Source organism: Homo sapiens, chromosome 9 (assembly GCF_000001405.40).
Source record: "Homo sapiens chromosome 9, GRCh38.p14 Primary Assembly".
Taxonomy (NCBI): Eukaryota; Metazoa; Chordata; class Mammalia; order Primates; family Hominidae; genus Homo; species Homo sapiens.
In genome coordinates, this window is record NC_000009.12 from 69,887,780 (window position 1) to 69,906,227 (window position 18,448).

Here is an 18,448-nt window from a genome sequence, read left to right on the forward strand (position 1 = left end):
CCTAGCTTTAAGATTGCCTCCACCTTTTAAGCTCTGAGCCACCAGAGAATCCAGGCTACTCTGTTGGAGGGAGAGGCCGTGGGAGGAACACTGGCAAGCTTGACTTACGAGTGAGGAAGCCATCGTGGATAATCAGCTTAGCAGAGCCTGGACTCCAGCTCTGGCTTCCATCTGACTGCAACCCTTGAGGATCCAAAAGAAGAAATTGAAGCCATTATCTGTTTGTTTTAAAATATGAACCAAAACATGACTGAGGCAGATATCTCAAATAAAAAGGAATAGCTACCATTTTAGGGAACTGGAAAACTAAACTAACTATAAACCAAATTTATAAGTTTAATATAATGAAATTCCAATGGAATTTGTTTTCTATGAGAATTTTAAGATTCCAGGAATTATTTGAAAGGACAAACAGATAAGAATAATCAGAAATGTTTTGAAAAGGTAGCATAACCGATTTAGGGAAGTAAGGGGTTTAGGACGCCACCTTCATTATATGCTACATTCTGATTTATATTTTTCTATTTAAAAAAATAATATTTAAGACATAGAAACAGCAAATGTGGTAGTTTATTGTTTAATATACTTAATATATATAGAACTCATACATATTGGCAGGAGAAATGTTAATGACCCTAGAGAAATGAGCAAAGGAAATAATATATGGGCAGTTTACAAAGTAGGAAATATAATCAACTAACTAGTAAATATAGGGAACACACCCCATTTACAAATACTAAACAATATGAATTAAGACAAAAAGATTTTTCTTTTGAGAATAAAATTGTCAATGTTTTCAAAACATACTACTTGAGGCTAGGCAGGGTGGCTCAGGCCTGTAATCCCAGCACTTTGGGAGGCCGAGGCAGGTGGATCACTTGAGGTCAGACATTTGCAACCAGCCTGGCCAATGTGGCGAAACCTTGTCTCTACTAAAAAAATACAAAAATTGGCCACATGTGGTGGTGCGTGTCTGTAATTCCAGCTACTTGGGAGGCTGAGGCAGGAGAATCTCTTGAACCCGGGAGGCAGAGGTTGCAGTGAGCAGAGATTGTGCCACTGCATTCCAGCCTGGGTGATGGAGTGAGACTTGGTCTCAAAAAGGGAAAAAAAAAAAATTTGACCTAATAATTCTTTTTCTAGGAAACTTCCCCAAAGAAAAGTAATTGAAACTAGCAATAAAATTCATATGCAAATACATTCATCACTGAATTATTTATGATGACAAAACTTGGAAAGTACCTAAATATTTAGTATTACTGAAACTGCCTTTGCAAAAACTATAGTAAGAAGGGAAATGTGACATAACTGAGTCCATCTTGCTTCTACCAGGCTCAGCTGCTTTTGCTCCTTCTTGTGTGGAGGCCATAACAGTTCTTTTTCTGAACTGATACCCTCGTTCAAAAATGGAAACCGTATTTGTAAATACTAACAAAAGGTCATAAGGTTAGACTTATGGTAAGGGCTTGAACTTTGCTAAAGAATAGGCATAGTTAAATAATGACCTGGCATTGCTTAACTTGCTTTTCTATACGTTGCTTACTGCTCCAGATCCATTTAACGAGGGTCACAAGATTTATAACTTCCCCAACTACTCCCAGATAACTTCACTGTTGTGAAACCTAAAGAACTGGTCTTTGAGATATTTTTCACATTTAGCATTTCAGCAGTCAGAGAAATGTTCCCTGGTCCTGAGATCCTCTCCTAGGAACTGACTCAGCTATGCAAAGACAGTTTAGACACTCCTGTGATTTCATTCTCAGCCAATCTTTTCAGTTCCCCAGGCCCTAGCCCACCAAATTATTCTTAAAACCCCTAGCCTCTGAATTGTTGGGAAGGTGGATTTGAGAAATTTCTCCTGTCCTTCTGCTTGGCTGGTCCTGTGATAACTAAACTCTTTCTTTGCTGCAACACCTGCTGTTCTCAATGTATTGTTTTTTGGGGGATGGCAGGCAAGAAGAATCCATTGGGCTGTAACATTAGAAGTAGCATTAATCAAGTATGTTATAGTCATATGATGAAATATTGTGCAGCCTTTATAATCTCCATAGATAGTTCTTAGTGTCTTGATAAATCTTCATTTAAGGGTAAAAAAATTAAGTTACAAAGTTGCATGTATATTTTATCCAAACTACATAAAAATATAGAGAAAATTTTAGAAACTAGGGAAACTGCCAAAATGCTAGCACAGTTGGCCAATGAATGTTGAGATTCTAGGTGATTTTCTTCATCTTTACACTTTTTAGAATTATCCAATGTAACAAGTGTGATGGTTTATCATCAGAAAAACCACAAGGAAAGAAACATATCATTTTAAAATGCATTTCAGGTCCATTTTCTTATTTACATGGGATTGGACTGTATCTTTAAATAAAAGAAATCTAATTAAAAACTCACAAATTTCAAAGGACTAAATATTATAAATATAAATAATGTGGGATGTATTTTTAGGGCACATAAATCATTAACCATTGCATTATATATTTATGCTTTTAATTTTTTCAGCATTATTTCTAATATTTCTCATGTTATTTGTTTCCACATTAACAGCACAGCATACCATGACAGTTGTTTGCCTTTATTTGCAATTTTGTTCACTTACTTCTAATGTCTTTTCCAAAGCAATTGATTTTGAGGCACGTTTTTAGCGCTGCTTCTGACACCCACATTTAATGAATGCTTGCATGACATTGTTATTGGATACAAATAACTTTTGATTATAATAACAGTGGATAGTTAAATAACAGAGAGTAGTGATTGAACTCTTAACAGATGTTGTCGTGCACATAAACAAGCATATAATTCACACATACTGAAAAAGGAGAGAATATTTTCTTGCTAGAGACTTCACCATGTGGCCTTGCCATGAACACAGTTCACCATTCATTCGGTCTACTACATCTGCAATTATGCAAGTTTTGAAGAAATCTGAAAATATTTGGATTTATATTATCTCAAATGTTGTGCATAAATTGAGACTTGATTAATTTTTATATTATGGTCTCTTACGTTTCCTTAATCCACATTTGTATAAAGTGGGACAGCATTATAGAAAGTAAAGGGAATGCAGTTTATCATTCCATAGCTCTAAGCATTGGTAAAGAAATACAGAGGATTAGGAAGCCATGGGGTCATTTCCAAGCAGGGAAATGGAAGAAAATTGCAACCCGTTTATTTTGAACTTCTCCTCTTAAACTGGATGTTTATTATAGCTCATCTCAATTTCAATTAAAGATACCTTCTCTTGAAAGTACCTCCATCATTTCCCAAAGAACCAGAACAGCGGAAAAGTTGGAAAGAAGGTACATTAGAGAACTGATCCAAAGCTGGCTGTTAGAAACTGAGAAAGTTTTTAACAGAGAATTGTTTCACAATACATGGACAAGGCGTCCATGTATTGTTTCAGAGTAAAGAAGAAACTATATCCCTTTAACAGCAGTTAGTCCCTGAAATGGCAGGATTGCCTGTCCTACTACTGGGACTCTATGCACTGGTATGGATGTGGCATTGCTAAAATATTGAGATTTCTGTGCTGGTTGGAAATGAGCTGTGGCCTCAAGTCCCCCGGGACCCTGGACTTCCTGGATGCACTATGACTTTCCTGGGCCCTAAGCACTTTTGCCTTCATGGGCCCCTTCCTCCACTAAAGCAAACAAAGAAATATATTTTACAACTGAGTTGATATAAAGACAAAAGTAATCCGAGTTAGACTATATTCTTCTTTTTTTTTTTTTGGATTTAAAGCTTATTAAAGAAATATCTAAACTACCTATTGGGTACTATGCTTATTACCTGGGTAACAAAATAATCTGTACACCAAACCCCCATGATATGAAATTTACCTACATAAACAAACCTGCACATATACCTCTGAACTTAAAATAAAAGCTTTTTAAAAAGAAATATCTTTTTAGGCTATATTTCTCATTTTCATTTTGTAAAAAATACCCATCTTTTCTCCCCTCTTTTACGCAGTTTGAATCCTTACCTATTTTTGACTGCGTTACTGTATTTTATGGCCATGTGATATGACCACGTTATTCTTAACCCTCCTGAAATTATTACTAACATACCAATGAGTGTTGTTATCACACAGTGTTCTTTTTTTAATCCCCCACTGGGAAGCACTCTTGGACTTCTATGCCCTATTTTAAGACCAATTTTCTGTATAACAGCTGTCATCAGTTTCTTTGCTCTGAGGTGTTTATGGATATTATATTATCAGCATCATTTCTGGGCTTAGCTTTGAGTTTCTACAGAGTTTGTTTTTCAAAATGACATCCGCATTTTTTTATTGTGGTAAAATATGCATAACATAAAATATACATGATATAAAATTTACTATTTTAATCTTTTTTAGCATGTAATTCAATGGCATTAAGTACATTCCTGTTGTTATATTCATTTTTAAAGATTCTGATTTTAAAAGAAATTAAAATATGTTCACGGGCCCCTAAAAGTATTGTGAGCCCTAGGCACTCTGCGTTCTGTGTCTGATGGCTAAGTTGTTTCAGCCTGGACTTCCTAGAAGCCAGATCAGTACCTGGCTGACTGGAGGCTTCTAGAACTTACTCAGTTGGCTTGGCTGAGAAATACTTAACCATCCCAGATGCAGATGCATCTTCGCTAAAAGTCAAGAGTTGGGCATGCAGGAATTACCATTAGGAGCCCTTTATTGTTTAATGAGGCTCTTTCACCTCAAAGATACTCTCCAAAGAGGAATTGCCTTTGGTTTTCTATTTCCTAATGATACGGACAGCAGGTAGGGAAATACTGGGTAGAAGAGGGCGATCTCCAGTGAGGGTCACATCCTCAAGCCTGGACCTATGGCCCAAAATGAGAATATACATTCCTTTTTACCTGCCTGAACGTTGCCTTTTCCAAAGCCACCCTGGCCCGCCACAACCCCATCCTGTACCTATAAAAATCCTAGGCCTCACCAGCAGAGCAGCAGAGAAGGAGAGAAGAGAAAAAGCAGTCAGACATTGGAGAGAAGCAGCTTGATTTCAGAGGGACAGTTCGTTGAGAGGACCTCAAAGAAGACTTCAGCCAGGGACAGCCGAACTCCAGGGGAAGATTATTTTCCCAATCCATCCCTTTCCAGCTCTCCATCCCACTGAGAGCCACTTCCACTGCTCGATAAAATGCTCCACATTCACCATCTTTGATTTGTTTGTATGATCTGATTCTTCCTGGACACCATCTTCAATTTGTTTGTGTGATCTGATTCTTCCTGGACACTGAACAAGAGCTCAGGATACAGAGGGCTGTCACACAGAGCTGTTAAACACTTAGCCATCTGTGGATGGCAAAGCTAAGACAGTACACTTTAACACATGCCCTCAGGGGCTCTGGGGGTCATGGGCAACCCCTAGGCGCTTCCATGGGCTCGCACAGAGTTCTGCTCCTGCTGGTCACCCAGAAGCACTCATCCCAGACTCTGCACTCACTTACCTACCTGCAAGGAGTTGAGAGCTGTGGGCTGAGTAAGCAAGCCACCCCTTCATGAGTCCCACGAAAGGGTCAAGGGAGCTATCCCATTATACTAGGAAGGGTTGCCTACCAGGTGCCTTGAAAAGAAGACAAGAGAAAGAATGGCTTGCTGAAAAACAGAAAGAGCTGGGACAGAAAGAGAATCCAGAACAGGGTGAAGATTCTATAGAAAGCCTCACTTGTCTGAATTATATTAGCTTTCAAATCCCAGTTATTTTAAGGTCCTCTCTTTGTATCTTTGCTTCATTCCATGTCCCTATTGTCTTCCCCATTTTCATTTCAGCATAGACAGTCTCTTTCTTTTTCTTTCTCCTCCTCCTTTCCCTCCTCCTCTTTTTCTTCTGTTATTTTAAAAAATAATAGCATGGAAAATTGTTCAAGTTAATCTGGCCACATAGAAAAATGAAGTATAAAAGCCTTGTATTCTAAAGTGTGGTTTTTCCAAACTTGTACCTGGAAAATTAAGGCTGAAATTTAACTAAGTTCCAGGCTTATAATGTATTTTTATTACTTTCATTTTAGTGCTATTTTATTTGTACTTCATCTGACTATATCCACGATTTAATTTTCTTTGTCTTGTTAATTGCCTGACTCAATATTCACTAACAAATGAATAATTGCCATTTGCTTATTTATCTTATCGTGTATTATTGACTGAAATGAAATGAGTGAGAGTTTTAGAATCCTCTGCAAATAAGGTAGTGGTAGGGGGTAGAATTGGAGAGGAGGGAAGGGTCTTATAATCCCTGCCAGAGTGTCCCATAATGCTGCTGCTAGTTAACCATGGAAACAGGCTTCTTTGACTTGGGTTCAAAAGGATATGGTGGCCTTTCTAACCTAAATATCTTGTCTGAAAGATCTCAACACATGTCATACATATGTGTGCTGACCTTATATTTATACTTGAAGGCTTGGTTTTATATAGTTTTATAAACAAACAGTTCTGGTTCTGAGTCTCATGTCATTCTGCCAGCTCTAAGAACCACATTTCCTAGGCCCCAGCTTCAACCTTAGGATCTGCTGGTTTTTGCTCATATAACTCCATAGAACTTCCATGGACTACCGAGTTGATTGGGAGACAATAGAATTTGCCTTATTGAATAAAATATACAGTTGCTGGTAGATGAGTAGAAGGAAGGAAGGAATGAAGCAAGGAAGCAAGGAAACAAGGAAAGGAGGGAGGACAGAAGAAATAAAGGGAGGAAGAGAGGAATGAAGTAACACTTATTGTCTACCATGTTCCAGGCACTGGCTTAGTTATCTTACATGTATTAGCTCACTTAATCCTCACAACTGCCCCAGAATATCAACCTATTGGAATTACATACTGAGGAATCTGTGTCCCAGAGAGTTTAAGTATGAGTAATAACACACCATGTAAGTGTTCAAAGTGAACTTGGGTCTGATTCCAAGTGCCATATTTGTAGCTACTTTGCAAAACACGACTCAAAACTTATATACTCCAACCTTTGTAGGCCTTGATCTCACTTTAAGACTAGAGTTAGATGGACAGACACAGTGGATCACACCTGTATTCCCAGTACTTTGGAAGGCTGAGGTGGGCAGTTCATTTGAGCTTAGGAGTTCCAGGCCAGCCTGGTCAACATGGTGAAACACCATCTCTACTAAACATACAAAAGATTAGTTGGGCCTGGTGGCAGTGAGCCTAGATTGCACCACTGCATTCCAACCTGGGTGACAGAGTGAGACTCTATCTCAAAAAAAAAGAAAAAAAAAAAAAGACTAGGGTTAGACAGTGTGATGGTTAATTTTCTGTGTTAACTTAACTAGGTTATTTGCCCTGTAGTTTAGTCAAATACTTCTCTAGATGTTGTTGTGGAGGTCTTTTGTAAATGTGATTAACATTTACAATCAGTTAACTTTTAGTAAAGATTATTCCAAATAATGTAAGTGGGGCTCATTGAATCAGTTTATAGCCTTAAGTGCAAAAAACTAAGGTTTTCTGGAAAAAAAGGAATTCAGTCTCAAGATTGTAACATAGAAATCCTTCCTGAGTTACTTGCTGGCCTCCACAATCATGTGAGCCAATTCCTTAAAATCAGTCTCTCTCTCTCTCTCTCTCTCTCTCTCTCTCTCTGTGTGTGTGTGTGTGTGTGTGTGTGTATTCTATTGGTTCTGTTTCTCTGGAGATCTTTGACTGATACAGACACAGTGATCTTTCCAAGCTCTCTGGCTCTCAGATTCTACTATTTGATTTGATTTGATTCTGTCTCAATGATCTTTTCCCATTGAAATAGTAATTTATTTATGACCAAGTATCCTTTCGGATTAAAGACCTTGGTAGACATTTAATTCAAACTTAGTTGAAAATTAAATGTTAATTATACTTAATTATAAATTAATTATTTTAACTTCCTGCTCATCTTGTGTATCACCAACAGTAGAGAAATTGTGGGGTCTTAATTCTCAGGAAACGGATTGTTTTTTAGAGTTGTATTCTTTTAGTAGAGAGATACCCTATTTCTCCAGAAACTTAACTTTTGCCTTATGTTGCCTCTGAAGTTATTTATTAACTTTTTTGAGACAGAGTCTTGCTCTGTCACTCAGACTGGAGTGCAGTGGAATGATCTCGGCTCACTGCAATCTCTACCTCCCAGGCTCAAGTGATCCTCCTGCCTCAGCCTCTGAAAGTGCTGGGATTACAGGCGTGAGCTGCTGCGCCTGGCCTGGTCTAACATTTGTTTCTAAGTTAGGCCATGAAGCTAAGTTCTGCTTCAGAGAACTTGGAATTATGAGATATTTTATTTTCTTCTTTTTGATTATCTTCAGTTTCTACAGTGAACATATAAAACTTTTGTAAGGAGAAATAAAGTTTTAAAGATTGAGAAGCCTAGGCCTCAAATTGATATACAGTCCATTAAGTCATTCCATTATAAAACAGTGGCAAAGGTAAATGTCCTCACATAATATAGACTGAAGAATAAGAAAAATCGTATTTGTGTTTTATATGATTGAAGTGATAGAACCAATCAATTTTGTGCATTAGAAACAAACAAATATATCAACAGCTAATGTTTAATTGTGTATTGCTTAGTTTTTGATGCTGGCCATAACAAAAATTTGTGTGATATTAATCTTTAAAAGTCAATTTATTTGTGAAGTGTTCATTTACATAGATCTTCATATTTTTTGTAGTGAAACCTTACTATGTTGACTGGATTCATTAGTGGTAGAGATATTTATATTTCTATCCACAGCCTAAATTTCTTTGTACTTCCCATGGCTATTTCCCTGTAGCTAAGAGTCTCATGCTCTGTTAATATCTGTATTTGTTACAAATGCTTCTCCCTCCTAAAACTTTATCAAATAAATAGGAGTAGTAAATACTTCTTAAATACATAAGAATATATCCCACTAGTTACATATTTGTTTAGCTACATTTGCCAATTATTCTTATGTTTGTGACACAATCATTGGAGGAAAAAATATCCAATAGAAATAAAACTTGGCCAGGTGCGGTGGCTCACACCTGTCATCCCAATGCTTTGGGAGGCTTGAGATGGGAAAATGGCTTGAGGCCAAGAGTTCAAACCTGCAGTGAGCTATGATTGCACCACTGCACTCCAGGTTGGGTGACACATCAAGACTCTGTCTCTGAAAAAAAAATTTTGAAAAAATAAAAGAAATAAAATATTTTAAATTTAGTGAAGTAAATGAACGAGGGAATCCACCTGAGATACCCATCCCCCATTGGTCCCCAGGGCAGATAAGGTAGGTTTGACTGTGGGGTAATTCTTCTTTTCCTCCCACCATTCTGCATGTGTGCTTAACTACCTTATTAGAGGAAGGCAAGTCTTCAGTCAAGTGCATGTAATTGGTAAAGACTTTTATACATGATGTATGCTGGAAATAATGAAACAAAATATCACAACAATTTACTTTTATATCTATTTTCATTCCATCCAATGTGACATTCACATAAATAAGCTTACTAACTCAAATATCATTTTAAAAGTAAATGGAACACTCAAAATGAGCATCCTTATAGGCATACTGGGGAAGAATGGTTTTTGCTGTGCTAATGCCAGGTGGCTAATAGCTATCTTTAATGGTGGACGCAAGGTTAGTTTGCACTGACTAATTTGGCCAGGAAACATAAACCATTATGCATTTTTATGGATGATCTGGATGAAGGAATTGAGACTATGCTTCCAAATTATCCTGTAATATTAAATTAGGCAGAGTTACTACGTTCCAGAAGGCAGTCCTAAAACTGAAAATGACCTTGAAAAATAAAACTATCAGAAATGAAAGGTCCTAAAGAAAAAGGATGAAATCCTATATGAATGAGTAGAACCAAGGAATAGCCTACCAGAAGATTGAAAAAAATCAGCTAAGGACTGGCTATACAGTTGACTAAGAAGTAGCATTATCATTTTACCGAAAAAAGGTGCAGGAGATAATGGTGCTTAGAGTAAGGATAGAGCATACAAGGGGCAATGGGGGTGGAGGTGGAGTGGATACCAGGAGACCCCATTGTTTAAAGATACATTAATGCATTTTACTGATGTAAGTGGTAAAACCATGAGGGAAGGTGGGTTGGGGGAACCACTCACTAGGAGGACCCTCCTTTAACATCCTAACCTGCCTTGCCATGATCTGAGGAAGAAGAAAGAGAAGGAAGAGAACAAGAAGAAAAGAAAGAAGAATGCTTTCTTAACCAATCTTCTGAAAGCCAGTTTTCCCCTATGGTGATTCTTTTGTTGCAACTCCAGTGCTTCCTGTTTTGGCAGGGCCTATTTTGCCCTCAGTATTCCTTTCTCTGGTGCTCTTTCTTTTCCTCCTTCTACCAGCATGTTTTATGGGACTCCCCCAACCCTTCACTGAAAATGCACCCTCAAGGGTGGCTAGAGGTTAATTGACATTGTTGTGTTTTGTCAGATGCTACTCTGGGTTAGGCTTCTTTGGAGCTTAGCAATTGTTGATTACCACCACATTCTTCAGCCTCCCTCCCTCTTCAGAGCCTATGACATTGCAACACTCTCTCCTAACCTCTCCTTGTCTGTCCTTCATGGCTTCTTTATGGACCCAATCATGGGCTTCCCCAACATTTGTGCCCCAGATCCCTGCACCTCTCATTTTACACAATCTCAGAGAATTCATCAATTGCCATGGCTGTATACCAATCAACATTGGGCAGGGGGTAATTTTAATTGTTGTATAATTTCGAACTTACAGGAAAGTTTCAAAAATGGCACAAGGAGCTTCCATATATTCTTTGCAGAGTTGATAGCTGTTTACCATATGAAGGTAGGCTGAAGACATCATGCCCTTTTGCTCCTAAATAGTTCAATGTGTATCTCCTAAAAATAAGGATGAGTGTCTGTGGTACAGTTTTCAATTTCAGGAAAATTGATACAGTGCAATTATACAATCCACAGTCCATGTTAAATATCATCCATGGTCCCAATAATGTTCTTTATAGCTATTTTTTCCCTGCCAGTGATCACTGCTGTGCATAGGGCACTGACTTCTCTCTAGGCCATCTGTCCCACAGCACTACCTTCCAAATAAACATTTTTTACTGATGTCATCTTAAATTAAAAATGTCTAAAATGTGACTCATCATTTCCCCCCTAAAACAAATCATCCCCACCCCCATGTCTTTCTAATTCTTTTCAGTGTTATTATAACTCTCCTGGCCTTCCAGGCTTGAAGCTATGAATCATCTTTGGTTCTTTGTCCTCAGTTAGCTGTGTAAGTCCTTTATGTTCTTCCTGTGAAATGACTCTTTCATTCTGCATAAGCCTTTGTGCACTAATGCCCACTCATTCCACACATCAGACAAATTCTTCTGGTTACACTCATCTACCTGAAGGGCTCAGAAAAAGCTTGCAATGCTTGTCCTTCCTTAAGTAAACTCTGTCACAACTCTGTGTGTGTAGCACCGAATAGTGACCTAGCCAACAGTAACATATAGTAATTCACAAATCTGTTTCAATACACACTTTCTTCCCATTCCCACTAAATACATGTTGAAGAGAGATTTACCTATTATGTTAGGGTGTGGAAAACATAACTGTCTGCAACTCACGTATGCAGAGGAAATTTATCTAACTGATATTTGACCTTCTTCTGGAGCCCACCACCAGTGGGAAAACATAAGTTCTTCAATCCATTTAAAGCTTAGTCTGATGCCATAATTTAAATAGTTCTGCTTTCTATAGAAAGTGTTTAATCCCTCCTGAAGAAAACGCTCACTTTCTCAGAGATCCTCTCCCATCCTGTGTGTGCAGAGAAGAGCTAACATAGCAGAACTGAGACTACTATCCTTTCAAAGCCTGCTCACAATGTTGGTCCTTGATTGGCATCTAGAAACTTGGCTTTCAGGATAAGAATTCCCTGATTAGAATGACCCACTGTGGCTAAAATGTTTGTGCAAACAATATGTTTTATGCTGAACACCTGTTTCCTTCTGGGAGTCTGAAATTTTGGGACATGCTAGGCAGAGGCTGCCTACATGACCCAGCTCCCAGTAAAAACTCTGGGCACTGAGTCTGCAATTAGCTTTCCCAGCAGACAGCATGGCACAACTCACTGTTGGGGGATTTACACTCATCCTGTGTGACTCCACTGGGAGAGGACTCTTGGAAATTTGCACCTGGTTTCCTGTGGATGTCAGCCCATAGCCTTTGCTGATTTTGCTTTGTATCATTTTTATGTAATAAATCAAAACCATGAGTACAACTATACAGGTGGTCCCTGACTTACGATGGTTCAACTTACAATTTTTTGACTTTATGATGCATTTATTGGTATTAAATGCATTTCACCTTATGAGTTTATTTTTTACTTAGATGGGTTTATTGAGATGTAACTGCATTGCAAATTGAGGAGCGTCTGTATATAGGTGTGTGTGCATATACACCCACAGCTGTGAGTCCTCCTAGATCATCAAACCTGAGGTGGTATTGGGGACCCCAATACACCATACTCTTTTCTCCCCTGAAAAAAGTATATTTTTCTCTCCTCATGACTATTGTTTTACACTAGTATGAGCAGAGTGGGTTGTTTGCAGCAACAAGAATGCAGCTTTCCCTACAATGGCATCCAGATACATGAAGAGAAGGATGTGACTTAGCATCCTGATGCCAGAAGGGAGGAGGAGGGTTTTACGTGTGGTATTTTCTGCCTGTTCTGTTCTCTGAGGTGATATCCCTAGTCTACCTCATTGCTCTTTTCTTTGCTGGCATTAGTGGCCAAACTTTATAGACATTGTAACTGGCAATCTTTTTCTCTTTATCCTTGGGCTTGGTTGGAGCCCAGAAGGCCTGTCTGGGATGACTCAGCCTCATTTCCATTCCCATAGACACTGTACACCCCACAGACAACTTCTGTGACTCTTATGCAGCCCCAGCTCCAATGGTCGGCTCTGCAGCCCCTGTTAGTATCTTCCTCTGCAGACTTGCAGCTACCTTAGGATCTCATCCATGCCACAGGAAAACAAAAGTGGCTCAAGATTGATGAGTCTTAGTGGTTCCCTCTGTCTGACCATGCTAGTGAAAGGAAAGGGCCATCTGAGAGTTGATCTGTTTCAAGAGTTTCCAACAGAAATGGGGGCCAGGAAGCTGCTATGTATTTTTTTTTTATGCTTTAAGTATAAGGGTACATGTGCACAACGTGCAAGTTTGTTACATATGTATACATGTGCCATGTTGGTGTGCTGCACCTATTAACTCATCATTTACATTAGGTATATCTCCTAATGCTATCCCTCCCGCCTCCCTCCACTCCACAACAGGCCCCTGGTGTGTGATGTTCCCCTTCTTGTGTCCAAGTGTTCTTATTGTTCAATTCCCACCTATGAGTGAGAACATGTGGTGTTTGGTTTTGTTTTGTTTGGTTTTGGTTTTTTTTTTTTTGAGATGGAGTCTTGCTCTGTCGCCCAGGCTGGAGTGCAGTGGCGCGATCTTGGCTCACTGCAAGCTCCGCCCCCTGGGATCACGCCATTCTCCTGCCTCAGCCTCCCGAGTAGCTGGGAATACAGGTGCCCGCCACTACGCCCAGCTAAATTTTTGTATATTTAGTAGAGACGGGGTTTCACCGTGTTAGCTAGGATGGTCTCGATCTCCTGACCTCGTGATCCACCTGCCTCGGCCTCCCAAAGTGCTGGGATTACAGGCGTGAGCCACCGCGCCCGGCCGGTGTTTGGTTTTTTGTCCTTGCGATAATTTGCTCGGAATGATGGTTTCCAGCTTCATCTATATCCCTACAAAGGACATGAACTCATCCTTTTTATGGCTGCATAGTGTTCCACGGTGTATATGCGCCACATTTTCTTAATCCAGTCTATCATTGATGGACGTTTGGGTTGGTTCCAAGTCTTTGCTATTGTGAATAGTGCTGCAGTAACATACGTGTGCATGTGTCTTTATAGCAGCATGATTTATAATCCTTTGGGTATATGCCCAGTAATGAGGTGGCTGGGTCAAATGGTATTTCTAGTTCTAGATCCCTGAGGAATCGCCACACTGACTTCCACAATGGTTGAACTAGTTTACACTCCCACCAACAGTGTAAAAGTGTTCCTATTTCTCCACATCCTCTCCAGCACCTGTTGTTTCCTGACTTTTTAATGATCGCCATTCTAACTGGTGTGAGATGGTATCTCACTGTGGTTTTGATTCACATTTCTCTGATGGCCAATGATGACGAGCATTTTTTCATGTGTTTTATGGCTGCATAAATGTCTTCTTTTGAGAAGTGTCTGTTCATATCCTACAGAATGGGAAAAAATTTTTGCAATCTACTCATCTGACAAAGGGCTAATATCCAGAATCTACAAAGAGATCCTATGTATTTTTTGCCATCATTCTCATTCGTCTAGTGTAACATTCACTATTCAGGTCAAAGGGACTTTGCCTGATTAAAGCCCAGGGATGGGAAAATTGGCACATAATGTTGGCCCTTTCTGCTTTCCCTTCCCCTTTGTTTTTTTAATTCTCACAATTCTCTTGACAGGTTCTTCCCTATCTTCCTCCTCTTCATTTCAACTCTTCTCTAAGCCTTCATAGCAAAGGATATTTTCTCTACCCATTTGGAGAACTCTATAATCTCCCAGGTTTGATCATTGACATTCTAAAGTCCTCAAAACTGTGAGTGGGATTACAAGGATATTGTCTTGCTCAAAAATCCTATTTTGTATGTTAGAAGCTGGTATGACTTTTCTCTTTGGTTGGTGTTTTTCTGAAACAAAGTACAAATCGGTGGTTATATACATGGAAAGAGGAAAACACATGAATAATTTTCCAGTTATTACCCGCTTTATTGACTTGAGTGGTATACCAAACGACTTTCTTGTCCAGGATTCCCACAATACCAATTTTGCCTTGGTTCTGAGCTGCAGTCAATAGTAAGGTTTTTTAAGGTTGTTCTTGGTATACCTGTTTTTTTTTTTCTATTCTATTTCATGCTTTTTGTGTTAAACTTTGAAAAGCATACTCTCTCTGCTTTCTTATAATAATTATACCCTCTAGGTTTCTAGTAAGTTGTTCTAATTTTTGAATACCTGCCTTGTTCTCCTATTTCATGTTTGCATGTTTCTGATTCCTAGTTGTATGCTTTGTCACAAATTTCCTGTTTTCCTTCACTCCTACTTTTCATATACGCCCTGCTCCCTTGGTTTTGACCCATTTATTTCCTCTGATTCCAAGTACCTCAGTGTTCCAATATTGTAGATTATTCAGGTGTATGTTAGGATGCTTTTAATAAGATGTACAAAATCCAGCTCAAACTGGGTCAGACTATAAAAGCAATTTACTGGCTTCCATGTTCTAAAAAGTCAGACTTCAGGAAAGGATTGATATAGTAATGCTATTGTGTTTCTTACTGACTGTCAGATGTGACTTTTATGGTGTTGGTGTCATGCTAGATTGGTTATAGGAGAGCTGCAAACTGCACCCTGGGATAGATGCTTCTTCATTTATGTCCAATCGTGGAAAAAGAACTTCTTTCACATAAACCATTGAACAGAAGTCCTGGGCTTTAATCTGTTTGGACCAATTTAAGTCAAATGCCTAACACTGAACCTATTACTGTCATTGAGAATGAGATGCCACTATTCTGATTATCTTCAGCCAGTTAGATTCTGCTCCTAGACCTGGGACTGAGATCAGTCCTACCCAAACCACATCCCTGCTACACCCTGGAAAATGGGAGAAGCGGACTCATGGGTGAGCTGGAGCCAGCTCTTAACAGTTGCCATGAGCTTACTATGCTCACCTCTTCTTCAGTGTTCACTGACCTCACTCTGGTAACTTGAAGTTAGCCTTAGTGGGAGTATTTATGCCACAGAAATTGGCAAATATTACAATTTTAATTTTTTAGAGCTGGTTTACCAACACAGCACTGAGAATGAGAGGAACCCAATGTAACCAACATGGATTAACAGGCAACAGTCTCTTAACTAGTTTTTCTAATGTCAGAATTGCTTTTTCCAATGCATTTTTTTTGAGACAGGGTCTTGCTCTGTTGCCCAGGCTGGAGGGCAGTGTCATGATCATGGCTCACTGCAATCTCAGCTTCCTAGGCTTAAGTGATCCTCACACCTCAGCATCACGAGTAGCTGGGACTACAAGAACGTGTCATCATGCCCAGCTAATTTTTTATTTTATAGAGACGTGGTCTCACTGTGTTGCCCAGGCTGGTCTCAAACTCCTGGCCTCAAGTGATCCTCACACCTTGGCCTTCCAAAGTGTTGGGATTACAGGAGTGAGCCTCTGTGCCCGGCCCATTCTTTTTTTAATAACAGCTTCACTGAGATATAATTTCACATACTATAACACTCACCCTTTTAAAGTGTACAATTCAGTGTTTTTTTAGTATATTTATGGGATTGTACAATCACCACCACAATCAATTTCAGGACATTTTTGTCACCCCAGGAAACTCAGTATCTATTAACAGTCACTCCCCATTCCTTCCCATCATCCCATTCCTGTCAATCACCAGTATACTTTTCTGTGTCTGTGAATCTGCCTATTCTGCACACTTAATACAAGAAGTTGTACAATATGTGGTTTCGCTTCTTAGCATAATGTTTTCAGGGTCTTTCAATTCTGTAGCATGTATCGGTATTTTATTCCTTTTGTTGACAAATAATATTTTATTGTATGTCTAGACCGTGTTTGTTTATTCATGTAATTGATGACATGTGAATGATTGAGATCCAATTCTAATCACTGTTTCAGTATCCAGTTTTTTCCTCCTCTAGTCTTTAATGCTTCTGCTACCAGAATCACTTTCCTAGAACAGCACATTTCATCTTGTCACTCACCTCATAAAAATCCTTCTCTCTGCCTATGAAATGCTGAAGGAGCCCATAGACGCTGTATTTGAGGCTCTCTTCAGTTTGACTGCAGCAGGGATGGGAATGAGAAGATCTCACCTCCCTTTGAGGGAACATTTTGGCCAGTGATGCTCAAATCTCATTTAAAGGACCTCTATTTGACCTACCCACCAAGCAACCAACCATAACACCTGAAGAAATAGCCCGAATGACAAAAGCAAAAGCCCAAACTACACAGAACAGTGACACAGATATTATGTAGCTCTGCAATTTTATAGTTGATATTTATTTTCATCTCTTAATTGATAAAGGTTTTGTTAGGGTTCTGGAGGGATAATGAGTTTTATAGTCAGATAGATCTAATCTGTAGTCCTGGCTTAGTCGCTTATTACTGACTTTCTTTAAATTCTCTCCTGAGATTTTAAGCAAATCATCATTTCTACCTGTAAAGTGGGTGTAATAATTCATACCTCAGAGCCCAGTTATGGATTAAAAAATATAAACACTCAATACTTGTGCCTAACCCATAATAGGCACTCAATAAATACATGGACACTATTAAGGTTGAATATATGATGATAATTTTCAATTATTTTTGACAAAACCCATCTAAGATTGTAACTATTTTGGTGTTCTTTCATTGTTTTATAGCTTTGGTGATTTAATTTCAACATTGTCCTAGTGCTTTAAAATTAGAGCCAATTTAAAGCAGAAATTAGATAATCAGTTAAAAGTCTTTATGTTCCATGTCTGCCATTACCCTTGGTGTAATCGGAAAGAATCAATATATCTTTTGGGAAATAGTCAATGATAATATCTTGTTTTATTACAATGAAGCTTTTCTGAAGTGGCCTAAGGATAAACATCTTAAACACTACACTGGGTTATGTTGAGGTAAATTCTTACAGCAATGTGTCAGAGCTTGGCATTTACCAGTGTCATGGGAAGTATGACTTGGTAACAATTATTAAAGATATAACCCAAGATATTATTCTTTGCAATGGTTATAACATATTTTTAAAAGGTGTTGAATTGTAATTAAATTATAATTGTTTTGGTCTATATATATGATCATAAAATTTAAATTGTTCTTTATGCTGTGTATTTGTGGTTTAGAAAAATTTTACATGTGTGGTAACTTTTTAGTTTTATAAACAACCATGAATTATATTCTTTTTTTGGGCTTTGAAGTAATTATGAATGCAATAGCCATTTTTTTAACTGAAACATTTGCTATTTGAGAGAACAAATTAATCAATTGTTAAAAATTAACCTTCAATCATAAGAATAATATATGAAAAATAAACTTTTGAAGATTACTTCTTTTTACATACTTCAGTTATTAAATATTATTTCTCTTTTTTCCCCCATAGGCTTATCCCTGTCAAGATGATTATTCCATAGTCCACAGAAAATGCCGTTCTCAGTTCACGGATCTAAATGGTTCTAAAAGATTTGGCATCAACACTTGGCATGATGAGAGTGGGATTTATGCTAATTCAGATGTAAAACAGAAACTCTATCCCTTGACTAGTGGGCCTATTGTGCCAATTTAAAAATAATGTATAGAATCAGCATCTCTGACTAATGAAAAATGGATGTAGCAGTTGATGATTTTCTATCTTAATAAATGCAATGGAAGTGTTA

At 38.4% G+C, this 18,448-nt stretch overlaps 1 protein-coding gene across 10 annotated transcripts in view; it reads left to right on the forward strand.

The window, feature by feature from the left end:
- Positions 1–18,448, forward strand: part of CFAP95 (cilia and flagella associated protein 95) — an 85,411-nt gene extending 66,963 nt beyond the window's left edge. For 5 of the 10 annotated variants that reach the window (NR_131756.2, XM_011518230.3, NM_001010940.3 and 2 more), the window contains one exon: positions 18,175–18,448. Coding sequence is in view for 7 of the 10 variants with exons in the window: in NM_001010940.3 (NP_001010940.1) it covers positions 18,175–18,357 (183 nt within the window). In the remaining 3 variants the exon portion in view is untranslated. Of the gene's footprint in view, positions 1–10,692; positions 10,765–14,475; positions 14,610–18,174 lie in introns of those variants that run through there. The other 5 variants (XM_011518229.3, XM_011518234.4, XM_011518233.3 and 2 more) reach the window with 3 other exon arrangements.